General features: G+C 46.9%; 1 protein-coding gene across 33 annotated transcripts in view, besides 2 other annotated features; it reads right to left on the bottom strand.

Moving 5' to 3' along the window:
- The window catches only part of DGKA (diacylglycerol kinase alpha), a 26,708-nt gene continuing 13,251 nt past the window's right edge, over positions 49-13,505 (bottom strand). For 27 of the 33 annotated variants that reach the window (NM_001413597.1, NM_001413598.1, XM_017018901.3 and 24 more), the window contains 13 exons: positions 13,350-13,448; positions 13,092-13,175; positions 12,747-12,820; positions 12,488-12,562; positions 11,989-12,074; positions 11,809-11,898; positions 2,289-2,449; positions 1,973-2,037; positions 1,641-1,731; positions 1,140-1,338; positions 912-1,032; positions 662-722; positions 49-387 (listed from right to left, as the gene is read on the bottom strand). In NM_001413597.1, coding sequence (NP_001400526.1) covers positions 304-387; positions 662-722; positions 912-1,032; positions 1,140-1,338; positions 1,641-1,731; positions 1,973-2,037; positions 2,289-2,449; positions 11,809-11,898; positions 11,989-12,074; positions 12,488-12,562; positions 12,747-12,820; positions 13,092-13,175; positions 13,350-13,448 — 1,290 coding nt within the window. In that variant the 3' untranslated portion in view covers positions 49-303. Of the gene's footprint in view, positions 388-661; positions 723-911; positions 1,033-1,139; positions 1,339-1,640; positions 1,732-1,972; positions 2,038-2,288; positions 2,450-10,653; positions 10,776-11,808; positions 11,899-11,988; positions 12,075-12,487; positions 12,563-12,746; positions 12,821-13,091; positions 13,176-13,349; positions 13,449-13,505 lie in introns of those variants that run through there. The other 6 variants (NR_147027.2, NR_147026.2, NM_001413603.1 and 3 more) reach the window with 4 other exon arrangements.
- Positions 13,131-13,505: part of an enhancer, noted in NCBI's record as "H3K4me1 hESC enhancer chr12:56334225-56334725 (GRCh37/hg19 assembly coordinates)", that runs on past the window's edge. NCBI's record gives its function as "activates a minimal SCP1, AML or CMV promoter by ChIP-STARR-seq in primed H9 embryonic stem cells {active_cell/tissue: H9 hESC(primed)}" and the evidence as "EXISTENCE:reporter gene assay evidence [ECO:0000049][PMID:30033119]".
- Positions 13,422-13,505: part of an enhancer, noted in NCBI's record as "active region_6463", that runs on past the window's edge. NCBI's record gives its function as "activates an Ori minimal core promoter by ATAC-STARR-seq in GM12878 lymphoblastoid cells {active_cell/tissue: GM12878}" and the evidence as "EXISTENCE:reporter gene assay evidence [ECO:0000049][PMID:35858748]".

Here is a 13,505-nt window from a genome sequence, read left to right as displayed (position 1 = left end):
ACGTCATTTAAGGAGTGAAGGTATAAAAGAAGGAAGTGTACCACTTACTTAGCAGATCCCAAAGGGGAAACACAAGTCATTTTATTCAGATGAGGCACTTTCAATGTATGTGTTTTGGGGTGTGTGTATGTGTGTGCGCATGGGGAACAGTGAGGTGGTGCAGGATAATAAATACTGTGAGGGTGAAGGAACACTCCCCCAAGCTGGCAGGAGTATGTGGCAGCAATGTACAGAGCCTCGGGAGTAGAGTCCAGGGACAGGGAGGTGGGTTCAAGGCTGGCTTGGAGGCCAAGGGTGTCCCCCTTAGCTCAAGAAGCCAAAGAAATTGGTGGAGCGGGGGGGTGGGCCCATGAGCATGGGCATCTGGTTCTTGTGGGTGATCTTGATCTGGAAGGGAAGGGAGCACATTCAGAGGCAGGACCTGATACTTTGGGGCTGTGGCTTCAGAGATTTAGAGGGAAATCTGTGGGGTTTGGGGTGGGTTGCTAGGTTCCTAGAGAGGCCACGATAGGGAAACCAGGGGCTGAGAAATCAGGGTTTAGGATGAATGATGTGCAGGGGAAGTTCAGGCATCAGAAGGGTGTAAAGAAGCTGTGGAATGGGGATTTAGGATCCATGGAGCCCAAGGGTTTAATTTTTGGCTGGGATCGTCAATACTCACTGTACAGGGCGTCTGCATCCAGGGTTCTCCGTCAATTTGCATGGGAAGGGTTTTTGTGGTGCTATAGGAGGCCAAGGAACATTGGTGATTTCCTTACCAATCGAATACCAAAACTCTGCTTCTTAGGTTGGCTTTGAGACCTTTTGTCATTGAGGGAGATCTAGTAAAGCCCCTCCCCACCATTCCCATGACCCTTCTGCTGCCCCAGCCCCACACCTTCCCTCAGGGACCCTGGTGGAGTCTTCCTTACTGGAAGGTGATCTCAGAGCACTTGGCCAGCCGACGTCCAGCATTCTTGAGCTTGGTATAGATTTGGCCCATCTCAATTGCACCCTCCAGCCCAACCACTTCCAGTCTCTTGTCACTTAGGTCTGGGGACGAAGTAGGGAGTAAAGTTTTACATAAACAGGGTATCCCCATAGGGAGTCACACTTTCCCTTCGTCCTGCCCACTCAGCTCCCAAGGCTGCTCCTCTCACCTGGTACACAGGTTTTCAGGATATCAGGGTCGGTGATGACTTTAGCTGTAGCACCTAAGGCCTGGTTGATCCCATAGATATCCCCATGGGGTCTCCTGGTATCACCCCAGAGGTTGGAGCCACCATGCATGCTAGGGATGTTTAGCACTGCGATGCCTTCTAGGGACAGGTTGCTCAGATCCAGCGGTTTCCCACAGATCTGAGAGGAGGGGGCACAGTCCCAGTTAGGGAGGGTACAGATCCTCACCTCATGGCATGATCATAGATGTGATCGCTCCCTCCACCAGATGACAAACTGGAGAAGGCAGGATTTGGAGGTGTGCAAGGAATGGAAATAGGGACTAGTGTATCTTGAGGACTTGGAGAATTGGGGTAGGAGAGCTGGGAGGTTAAAGAAGCATAGGTTCAAGAATATGGGAAGTTCCTAAGGGTGCCATGGAGGGAGAAACTTGGCTATTAAGAAGCTGAAAAGGATGTAGGGTTAAGTCTTATTACACACACCTCAACTGTCAAAGACTCCTCCAGCTTTTTGCATGTTGAGAAGATGGATTCAGATGTGGCAAATTCGAAGTACCATAGCTTGTTCTTCATTCTGTGTCAGCCCCAACACAAGGCCCAGTAGGGAGGGACAGGTTACACAGTGCTGGCAGGGGTGGTACGTGACAGGGAAGGGCATCAACCTCCTAACTTTAGTCCCATGGGGAACAAGGGTGGCTTTGGTTGGGGGGACCTCCTAGAGGTGCCACTGTTCTTCTGAGCAATCTGAGTCAAACTTGGTCAAAACCTGGCTCCTGACACTGTGTATGCCCACACTGCCCCCTCCTTTCCCTAACCTGCTGTTGAACTTCTCCGGATATTTCTCTCGCATGATGTGGAATCGATGAGCAATAGAGGCATCCTGGAGAGTTCGGGACATGAAGGTCAGTACAGAGCTCAATCTCTCCCTCCCGGTCTCCCCTCTTTCCCAAGTCCCCATGCTGCTCCCCACAGCATGTCCCAAGATCTTCCCTTGCAACTCAGCACTGTACTGCACTCCCAATTTCCCTGTGTCACAGGTCACTTAACCTCCCCCTCCTTTTCTGCTCTCCTCCAGCCTCTGACTGCTTGGCCCCCCCTTTCTCCCTTCTCCCCAGGCCCCATTCCACTGACCACGCCAATAGAGAAGTAGTTATTGATGATTTGAAAGGGGACTGGGTCACTTTTTTCTTCAGTTTGTTGAGGTATCACCTCCACAGACCATCGATCCATATGTACCACTTTACTCATCTCTAAATCCTTGAGGATCTTTGCCAGATTCTGTCCTTCATAACCTAGGAGTGGAGAAGACAGGTTAGCACTGAGCTCTGGGTCCCAGAGAGGCCTCTTCTCAGCTCCCAGCTCCACAAATTCCCAGGGGCCTTCTGCCCTGTTTCTACAGAGCCTCCCAGCCCTAGCCAGTGACAGGGCAGGGTGCATGGTCACAGCTCCCATGGACCTTTCCTCCATGCTGTGTGGAGGGTGAATGTTTCCAATGTGTGTGGATATGCAAAGATGGTGCCAACAGTCATCTGGAAGGTTGGAGAGAATAGCCAGGAGAATGCTGAAAAAGATGGGTGACAAATGGGGATAATCCTCTCTCACCCTTGACCCCTGATGCTTTCACTCCCCATTCAGACAGACCACAGTACAAAGCAACCATGTGTAAACAGTGTTATACAGGCAGAGTGAATGCAATAAAAGGTTCAATAGTAAAGAATAGAGAGCCCCCAAATAGACTCAAGTATATATAGAAATTTAGTATGTGATGTCATTTCAAATAAATGGGGAAAAGACAGATTATTCAATAAATGGTGCTGGGGAAAGGGAGGAGCAGCATGAAAAACTACCTACTGGGTTCTATGCTCGCTACCTGCATGATGTGACCATCCATACCCCAAACATCCCAAAGTGCTGGGATTACAGGCCACTGCGCCTGGCCAGAATTTGTACTAGAAGAAAACATTAGTAAATGTTTTTATAATCTTTGAATGGATACAAAACTAGAAGCCCAAAAGAAAAAGATAGATAAATATAATTATATTAAAATTTAAAACTAGACGGACATGGTAGCCTCTATAATCCCAGCTACATGGCAGGAGGATTGCTCAAACCCAGGAGTTCGAGACCAGCCTGGCCAACATAGTGAGACCCCATCTCAAAAAACAAACAAACAAGGCCAGGCACAGTGGCTCACTCCTGTAGTCCCAGCACTTTGGGAGGCTGAGGCGGGTGATCCCTTGAGACCAGGAGTTTGAGACCAGCCTGGACAATATGGCAAAACCTCATCTCTACAACAAATATAAAAATTGGCCAGGTATCAGTGGCTCACACCTGTAATCCCAGTACTTTGGGAGGCCGAGGCGGGCGGATCACGAGGTCAGGAGATCGAGACCATCCTGGCTAACATGGTGAAACCCTGTCTCTACTAAAAATACAAAAAATTAGCCAGGCGTGGTGGTGGGCACCTATAGTCCCAGCTACTCAGGAGGCTGAGGCAGGAGAATGGCGTGAACCCAGGAGGTGGAGCTTGCAGTGAGCCGAGATTGCGCCACTGCACTCCAGCCTGGGTGACAGAGCAAGACTCCGTCTCAAAAAATAAAAAATAAAATAAAATAAAATAAAATAAAAATTAGCCAGGTGTAGGCCGGGCGCGATGGCTGATGCCTGTAATCCCAGCATTTTGGGAGGCCGAGGAGGGCAGATCACCAGGTCAGGAGTTTCAGACCAGCCTGGCCAACATGGTGAAACCCCATCTCTATAAAAATACAAAAAATCAGCAAGGCGTGGTGGCGGACACCTGCAATCCCAGCTACTTGGGAGGCTGAGGCAGGAGAATCGCTTGAACCCATGAGGCGGAGGTTGCAGTGAGCTGAGATTGCGCCACTGCACTCCAGCCTGGGCAACAAGAGTGAAACTCTGTCTCAAAAAAAAAAAAAATTAGCCAGGTGTGGTGGCATGTGACTGTAGTCCAGGCTACCCTGAGGTGGGAGGATTGCATGAGCCTAGGAGTTCGAGGCTGTGGTGAGCTGTGAGCTCACCACTGTACTCCAGCATGAGCAGCAGAGCAAGACTATCTCAAAACAAAGAAAGAAACAAAAAACAAAAAAGGAAAAATGTGCAAATAATACAAACAAGCCTATGATAGAAGAAAAAATACAAATGGCCAATATGCATAGGAAAGGTGCTCAGTATTACTAACAATTTCAAGAACCATAATTAAAACAATTAGCTAACTTTTGTTGCATATCAGGTTGGCAAAGTATAAGGAGATTCAGAAAACCAAATGCTAATGAGTTTATGAATAAATTGGCATTCTCATTTGCTGTTAGCTACAGCATGACTTGATAAGTCATTTTTGGAAAGCATTTTGGCAAATTTTATCAAAATGTTATCCAATTTTATCAAAACATATTTTTCGCTGGGTGCCATGGCTCATGCCTATAATCCCAGCACTTTGGGAGGCCGAGGTGGGCAGATCACCTAAGGTCAGGAGTTCGAGATCAACCTGGCCAACATGGTGAAACCCTGTCTCTGCTAAAAATACAAAAATTAGCTGGGCATGGTGGTGGGTGCCCATAATCCCAGCTATTCAGGAGGCTGAGACAGGGAGAATCGCTTGAGGCCGGGAGGCAGAGGTTGCAGGGAGCTGAGATCGTGCCATTGTACTCCAGCCTGGGTGACAGAGTGAGACTCCGTCTCAAAAAAAAAAAAATGTCTGTTTATGCATATGTGTGTGTGTGTGTGTGCATGCATGTAAAAACAGAAAAATGACTGTAAATAGGAAACAATGTTTATCTCTGAGGAGGTACATGGAGTTTTGTGGGGAGTCTTTAAATCTTTACGGTGACAACGTACTGATGACTTATTTATGTAAGTTTTTCTTTTTTTTTTTTGAGATGGAGTCCGGCTCTGTTGCCCAAACTAGAGTGCAGTGGCATGATCTCAGCTCACTGCAACCTCTGCCTCCCAGGTTCAAGCTATGCTCCTGCTCAGCCTCCCAAGTAGCTGGGATTACAGGCGTGTGCCACCAGGCCCAGCTAATTTTTTGTATTTTTAGTAGAGACAGGGTTTCACCATGTTAGCCAGGATGGTCTCGATCTCCTGACCTCGTGATCCACCCACCTTGGCCTCCCAAAGTGCTGGGATTACAGGCGTGAGCCACTGCGCCCAGCCCATTTGTGTAATTTTTTTTTTTTTTGAGACAGGATCTTGCTCTCTTGCCCAAGCTGGAGTGCACTGGCTCACTGCAGCCTCAACCTGCCAGGCTCAAGCTATCCTCCTACCTCAGCCTCCTGAGTATCTGGAACCACAAGCGTGTGCCACCATGCCTGGTTAATTATTTTATTTTTCATAGAGATGAGGTCTCACTGTGTAGCCCAGGATGGTCTCAATCTCCTGGGCTCAAGCGATCCTCCAGCCTTGGCCTCCCAAAGTGCTGGGATTACAGGTGTGAGCCACCATGTTCAGCTATTTGAATAGTTTTTTAAAAAGAAAATACCTTTTTTTTTTTTTTCGAGATGGAGTCTAGCTCTGTCGTCCAGGCTGAAGTGCAGTGGCATGATCTCGGCTCACTGCAACCTCCGCCTCCTGGGTTCAAGCGATTACTCCTGCCTCAGCCTACTGAGTAGCTGGGATTACAGGTGCCTGCCACCACACCCAGCTGATTTTTGTATTTTTAGTAGAGACGGGGTTTCACCATTTTGGCCAGGCTGGTCTTGAAGTCCTGACCTCATGATCCACCCGCCTTGGCCTCCCAAAGTGCTGGGATTACAGGCATGAGCCACCATGTCCAGCATGAACATTTTACTATTAATAGTTATTTTCGGCTGGGTATGGTGGCTCACACTTGTAATCCCAGCACTTTGGGAGGCCGAGGTGGGAGGATCACCTGAGGTCAAAAGTTCGAGATCAGCCTGGCCAACATGGTGAAGCCTCGTCTCTACCGAAAATACAAAAAATTAGCCAGGCGTGGTGGCGCGTGCCTTTAGTCCCAGCTACTTGGGAGGCTGAGGCACGAGAATCGCTTGAACCCGGAGGTGGAGGTTGCAGTGAGCCGAGATTGTACTATAGCACTCCAGCCTGGGTAACAGGAGTGGAACTCCGTCTCAAAAAAATAAATAAAATAAAATAAAAATGTTCATATTCTCCGAGTAAGCAATTCTACTTCTAGAAGTCTCTCCTAGAGAAATGTTCATATCTGTGCGCAGAGATAGATGTATGAGTGTTCACTGCACCATGGTTTGTAAGATTAAAAAACTGAATGCTACCCTAATGTCCACCAATAGGGAACTGTTTATAAATGATTACACATTCACACAACGGAACACTATTCAGTGCTAAAATGGATGAGGCAAACCTGACTGTATAGAAATATAATGATAATCAATATGAACTGTTAAGTTAGAAAAAGAAGAAAAACATCTATAAAATGATCTCATTGTTTAAATACATGTTAGTTTGTGTCTAGGAAGTAAAACATGGAGGAACAGCCCCCAAAACTGTAGGGCATAGATTATAGGGAGCTTTCACTTTCTTGGCACATGTATATGAAATGTTTGAGTTATTTTTTACCACCAGCATGTATTATAATTGTAGTCAGGGAAGAAAAAAGGTTTTAAAAATGTCTCCACAGCTGGGCGCAGTGGCTTACATCTGTAATCTCAGCACTTTGGGAGGCCAAGGCAGGTGGATCACCTGAGGTCAGGAGTTCGAGACCAGCCTGACCAACACGGAGAAACCCCATCTCTACTAAAAATACAAAATTAGCTGGGCGTGGTGGCACATGCCTGTAATTCCAGCTACTCGGGAGGCTGAGGCAGGAGAATCGCTTGAACCCGGGAGGTGGAGGTTGCAATGAGCCGAGATCGCGCCATTGCACCCCAGCCTGGGCAACAAGAGCAAAACTCTGCCTCAAAAAAAAAAAAAAAAAAGAAAGAAAGGAAGAAAAGAAAAAGAAAAAGAAAAAAAGTCTCCACTTCCTCACACTCCACTGAGGGTTCAATCCACTGTAATTTACCTTTTGCCCATCCCACCCTGCTGAAACTTTTTTGGCAAAGATTGCCAATGACTCCTGCCAACAGTGTATCTTTCGTTCTCATTTTAACTCTTGAAAGTCTTCACTTAACCTCTGAAATATCACTCTCTCGGTTACAGAGGGACTTTCCTTTCTCTTTGACTATTCCTTTTTAGTCTTTGTGGTAGGCAGAATACTAGCTTCTCAAAGATGTCCACATCTTAATCTCAAGAAACTGTGAATATTGCTGGGTGAGGTGGCTCACGCCTGTAATCCCAGCACTTTAGGAGGCCGAGGCGGGTGGATCACCTGAGGTCAGGAGTTTGAGACCAGCCTGGCCAACATGGCGAAACCCTGTCTCTACTAAAAATACAAAAATTAGCCAGTTGTGATGGCGCACGCCTGTAATCTCAGCTACTCAGGAGGCTGAGGCCGGAGAATCACTTGAACCTGGGAGGCAGAGGTTGCAGTGAGCTGAGATCGCGCCACTGCACTCCAGCCTGTGCGATGGAGTGAGACTCCATCTCCAAAAACAACAACAACAACAACAACAACAAAACAAAATTAGCCAGGTGTTGTAGCACATGCCTGTAATCCCAGCTACTAGGGAGGCTGAGGCAGGAGAATCGCTAGAACCTGGGAGGCAGAGGTGGTATTGAGCCCAGACCGTGCCATTGCACTCCAGCCTGGGCAACAAGAGCAAAACTCCCTCTCAAAAACAAAAAAAAAAGAAGAAGAAAGAAAAAAAGAAACTGTGAATGTTACCTTACATGGAAAAAGAGACTTTGCAGATACATTTAAATTGAGGATTCTGGGCCAGGCATGGTAGCTCACGCCTGTAATCTCAGCACTTTGGGAGGCTGAGGCAGGTGGTTCACTTGAGGTCAGGAGTTCGAGACCAGCATGGGCAGCACGGTGAAACCTGTCTCTACTAAAAATACAAAAATTAGCCGGTGTGTTGGCATAGGCTTGTAAGCCCAGCTACCTGGGAGGTTGAGACATGAGAATTGCTTGGGCCAGGGAGGCAGAGGTTGCAATGAGCCGAGATTGTGCCACTGCACTCCAGCCTGGGCAACAGAGGGAGACTCTGTCTTAAAAAAAAAAAAAATGAGGATTTTGAGATGGGGGATCATACTGGATCATCTGGGTGGTACCAATGTAATCACAGGGGTCCTTATAAGTGAAAGAGGAAGGCAGGAGAAAAGAGTTGTAAAAGGAGATGTGACTGTGGAAGCAGGGGTTGGAGTGATAAGACCACTGGTTGGAAGGGGGACCTTGAGCCAAAGAATGCAGACAGCCTGTAGAAACTAGAAAAAGCAAAGGATTATTCCCTAGAGCCTCTAGAAAAGAACTCAGCCCTGCCAACACCTTGATTTTAGCCTAGTGAGACCCATTTTGGACTTCTCTCATCCAGAACTGTAAGACAATAAATTTGTGTTGCTTTAAGCCACTGTTTGTGGTAATTGGCGACAGCAGCAATGGGACGCTAATGCAGACCCTTTAATAACTCCTCTTCCTCTGCTCAACTGTTAAATAGGGTGTTTACCAGGATCTTGCTGTCTTTGTTCACCTTCTCTTACCTCTTTCTCTGGGTAATCTCAGCTACTTTCAGAATGTCAATTACCACCTAGGAGCAGATGACTCTCAAACATGTATCTCCTAAAATATTTGACTTCTCTCCTAAATTCCTGACATGTATTTCTAACCACCCACCACAACATCTCCACCTGCCCCAAACTGAATTTTTCTTCCTTAAACTGGTCTTCCTCCTATATTCCCTGTCTTAATAAATGCCACCCCAAGGTTGGGCACGGTGGCTCACGCATATAATCCCAGCACTTTGGGAGGCAGAGGTGGGCGGATCACCTGAGGTCAGGAGCTCGAGACCAGCCTGGCCAGCATGGTGAAATCTCGTCTCCACTTAAAATACAAAAATTAGCTGGATGTGGTGGTGGACACCTGCAATCCCAGCTACTCGGGAGGGTAAGGCAGGAGAATCGCCGGAACCTGCGAGGTAGAAGTTGCAGTGAGCTGAGATTGTGCCACTGCACTCCAGTCTAGGCAACAGAATGAGACTCTGTCTCAAAAAGATAAATAAATAAAAATAAATAAATGAATAAATGAATAAATAAATGCCACCTCCATCTGCTGAATCCACAAACCTAGGAAATGTCCTAGACTTTTCTCTACCTCCTTCTCCACAACCTATCAGTTATCCAGAGCTGTGGCTTCTACCTCATTAACTCCACTGCTGCTGCCTTGGCTTCTGTATTCATCATCTCTTGTCTGGACTACTGCAAACAGGTAATTTCCTATTCTGTCTCCTTCCTACAATCCATCTTCCACAGAGCTCCCATAGTGATAATCCCTTCAATCCCCCCTCTTCGAACCTTATGATTTTTTCAGTGTCAACATGTTTTCCTTTTTATTTTTTAATTTAAAGTCTCACACTGTTGCCCAGGCTGGAGTGCAGTGGTGCAATCATGGCTCACTACAGCCTCGATCTTTTCAGCTGAAGCAATCCTCCCGCCTCAGCCTCAGCTGGGACTATAGGCATGTGCCACCATGCCTGGCTATTTATTTGTGTGTTTATTTATTTTTAGAGATGAGATCTCACTGTGTCAGCCAGGATTGAGTGCAGTGGCCCAATCATAGCTCATTGCAGCCTGAAACTCCTGGGCTCAAGGAATCCTCCAGCCTCCACCTCCTGAGTTGTTGGGACTACAGGTGCGTGCCACCATGCCCAGCTAATTTTTTAAAAAATATTTTGTAGAGACTTGGTCTCACTTTGTTGTCCAGGCTGGTCTCCAGCTCCTGGCTTAAAGCGATCTTCTGACCTTGGCCTCCCAAAGTGTTGGGATTACAGGAATCAGCCACCGTGCCCAGCCCAACATACATTTTCATTAGTGCTACATTTATATCCTTATTGTCATGATTCAGGTTGAGTTAGCAGAAAACTGCAATGTTTTCTGCTAACTTGTTTGCTTGTTTATGCTAACTTGATTTTTGTTTGCAGAATACAGGGAAGACATAAAATATGTAATTTCAAAATATCTAATATTATAAATGAAGAAGTCAGATGTTGAGGATCTGAAAACTGGTCAAAGAATTGGTTATATGTCTATATATAAAACAAGTTATAATGAGCACTCAGAGATATTTCTTCCTATTTGTTCTTTTAGTTACATCTTTTACTTACATCGAGTTCCCCCTCACTGCTGCTTGTTTGATTGAGTTAAAAAAAAAAGAGAAAAGAAAAAAAAAGAGTTTGCTCATAGTTCAGGGATTGCACACTCAAATACCTGAGTGGCTTGAATGGTAAAGTGGGTTGGGCATGGTGGCTTACACCTGTAATCCCAACATTTTGGGAAGCCTAGGTGGGCAGATCACTTGAGGTCAGGAGTTCAAGACCATCCTGGCTAACATGGTGAAACCTCGTCTCTACTAAAAATACAAAAATTAGCAGGGCGTGATGGCACACACCTGTATTTCCAGCTATTCAGGAGGCTGAGACAGGAGAATCACTTGAACCTGGGAGGCAGAGGTTGCAGTGAGCTGAGATGGCACCACTGCACTCCAGCATGGGCAACAGAGCGAGATTCCATCTCAAGAAAAAAAAAAAAGAAAGGGAAAGTGAATAAGTGACTAGCAGGGAGCCAAGGGGATTGTGATAAACTGAAGAATACATGTCCCACTTAGAAATAATCAAGTACAAAGAAATTGAAAACACTGCAAGGCAACTAATACAAAACAACACAAAATCATTACTGTGGGCTGTCAGCTTGCAATCTCTGACAGGATAAAATTAAAAACTCCCTGGCACAGTATTCATAACCCTCCATCATCTGGACTCTGCTCAACTAGTCTTCCCTCTCCACATTTTCCACCTTTCACCCTATGTCCCAATCATGATGAATGACTTACAGTTCCCCCAATGCACCACCATGTTGTTTGGTGGCTCCTCTGGCCTTACACTACTTCCTCCACCTAGAATGCCTTCCGCTGCCCTTAGCAGATCTCTATTCCCTAAGATCTCCAGCAAGATCTTAGAGCTGGACCCTGAACCCAATAACCTCAACTCCAAGATTCCTCAAACACAATCTGCCCTACACTGACCTCTTTATCTACCAATACCATCCCTCAAACTCCTTCTGTTTGAAAGGCATAAGAGATTAGAAATGGGAGAGCAGTTAGGAGACTATTGCAATACTCTGAAAGAAATCATAGTGAATTAATTAATGACTACCTGGTTAATTGTTTGAATGAGTGAATGAGTCATGACCTGCTAGCTCCATCATTCAGCATCTGGCTTAGCTCTTATACAACCTTCCTTATTCACACATTGTTCCCCACCCCCATATTCCTTGATTCTCTGAGCCATAAGAGTTGGTTGGGAGAAACATAAAAATATTTACAGGAAAGGGGACTATCACCCTTGACCCTTCTAGGTTCAGATTGTGGTCCCTGCTTCTTCCAAAGCTCTCTTCTTTTTGGACATTCCACTTTTGTATCCACCTGTCTGTGCCCCTCTTCTTCCCCAATCCTTTCCATACCAGATGCCTAGTTTCTTCTCTAAGTGCCTTTCCCTTCCTACACAACTCCTCTCAGCCTACAGCAAAACAATTTCTAACCACTTACCTCCTCCCCATCTTAGGCATCGAGCCAGATCATTTCCAGTACCCAGGGGCAACACAGCAACAGGAGGCAAAACTGGCAAGTTAGCTTTGTCTGCGGAGGCAGGTGAAGAGAAGGATGGAGTGAGTTAGCTCTGCAAGACTACGACCCCAATACCTTCCCCACGCCCCTCCCTGCACTGACCAATGGTCTCTAGAATCCAGCCTACTGTGCCGTCTCCACCACACACCAAAATCCGGCTATCAGGAACATCCTTGAATAATCGGAGCCTGAGACAAAGGGGAGAGAGAATATGAAGAAGGATAACAGGACTGAGGCTACCCAAGTCCTGAGCAGGCAGATTGCTTCTTGTCTCTCATTCCGTAGGACCCTCCTCCTTTTTGTCAAAAGACTTGAGTTTCTATGAAGGTCACAGAAAAGAACAATGGGGAAAGTTATAGCCACTCCTCAGTGGTTAGGGAAAAATTGGATCTTCATTCTTTGAGAGCAGGACAAAGATGGGCCAGAGAGCTCGGAGGATGGGATACCCAGTGACCCTAGGGAAGGAAATATTCTGAATTCTGGCCTCTTGGGGATCTCTAGCCCTCCTCTCCCAATCTGCACTCTTTCCTGCACTCTCCTAACATATACAGATACACAGACCCACGAAAACACTGTGATACAGTCCCTAACCTGTGCTCACCCTATCTCAGGACCATCCTTTAGGAGGTTGAACACCTGTCGAGGGTTTAATATATACTGGAACTTCCAGAGCACCCTGTGTGTGGGAAAAAGAAAAGTTCATGGCAGGCGCGGGGGTTGGGGGTGATCTTCTGAACCTCACCCTCTTTGTGTGTTCCTCAAGGTATGCCCCTCCAGACACACACATCCCCTTCCACCTTCTAAGTGTTGCAGGCAGGCCCTGCCTCTCATCTTAGAAGACCCAATATATTTCTCCTCACCTTTGCCCCTGCTTCCCGCCACTCTTAGGATTGACAAAGACGAGAAGTGGGTGGGTGTTAGGAACAGGGTCAATCTGCATTGGGGGAAGAAAATAAGGACAAAGAAAGCAGGATTTTGTCAGAGTTAAGGTGGGCCCAGGAGACAGGGGCAGAGGGCTAGCATTCCACCAAGATATTTCCCCCCTCCCTCCTGTTTCCCTCCCCTTCCCTCCCCTACCATGGTGGAGTTTCTGGAGAGTGAGCATCAACCGCTCCCCACCAGGCTCTCCCACTTCATTCCCACCCATGAGGGCTCCAGTGAAAAACCTGCCCCCATCATGAAGCCCAAGACTCTCAGCCCTGTACCCGCAGAGCCTCAGAGGTGCTCAAATTTAAATCATCCATGGTCTTCTGGCTTGTTTTGCTATTTTTACGATCCGGTCCAGAGGCCTGGGAGGGGAAGAAAGTAGAGGGAAGAAAAGCTGTATTGTGCATGAATCCCTAAATAGAGGGGTCTGACTTGAATCCTAAAAGTATGAGCTCTCTATTCTAAATGCCACTCTGTGCGTGTGGGAAATCGGGGAGGCACTCCTGTCCCCTCCCCGCTGCTGCCGAGGGTCTCACCAGGACACTGGGATAGATGGAAGATGGAGGCAGGATGTGATCCCGGAGCAGCCCACAGTCACACTCATGGCCCACCGCTTGCAGGCAGTCATCGTGGATCTGAAAGACGAGGTGGGCACAGAGAGATCACGAAGGTAACCCTGTCTCCTCTCAACC

Source organism: Homo sapiens, chromosome 12 (assembly GCF_000001405.40).
Source record: "Homo sapiens chromosome 12, GRCh38.p14 Primary Assembly".
Taxonomy (NCBI): Eukaryota; Metazoa; Chordata; class Mammalia; order Primates; family Hominidae; genus Homo; species Homo sapiens.
This window is presented reverse-complemented; position numbering and strand designations above follow the sequence as displayed.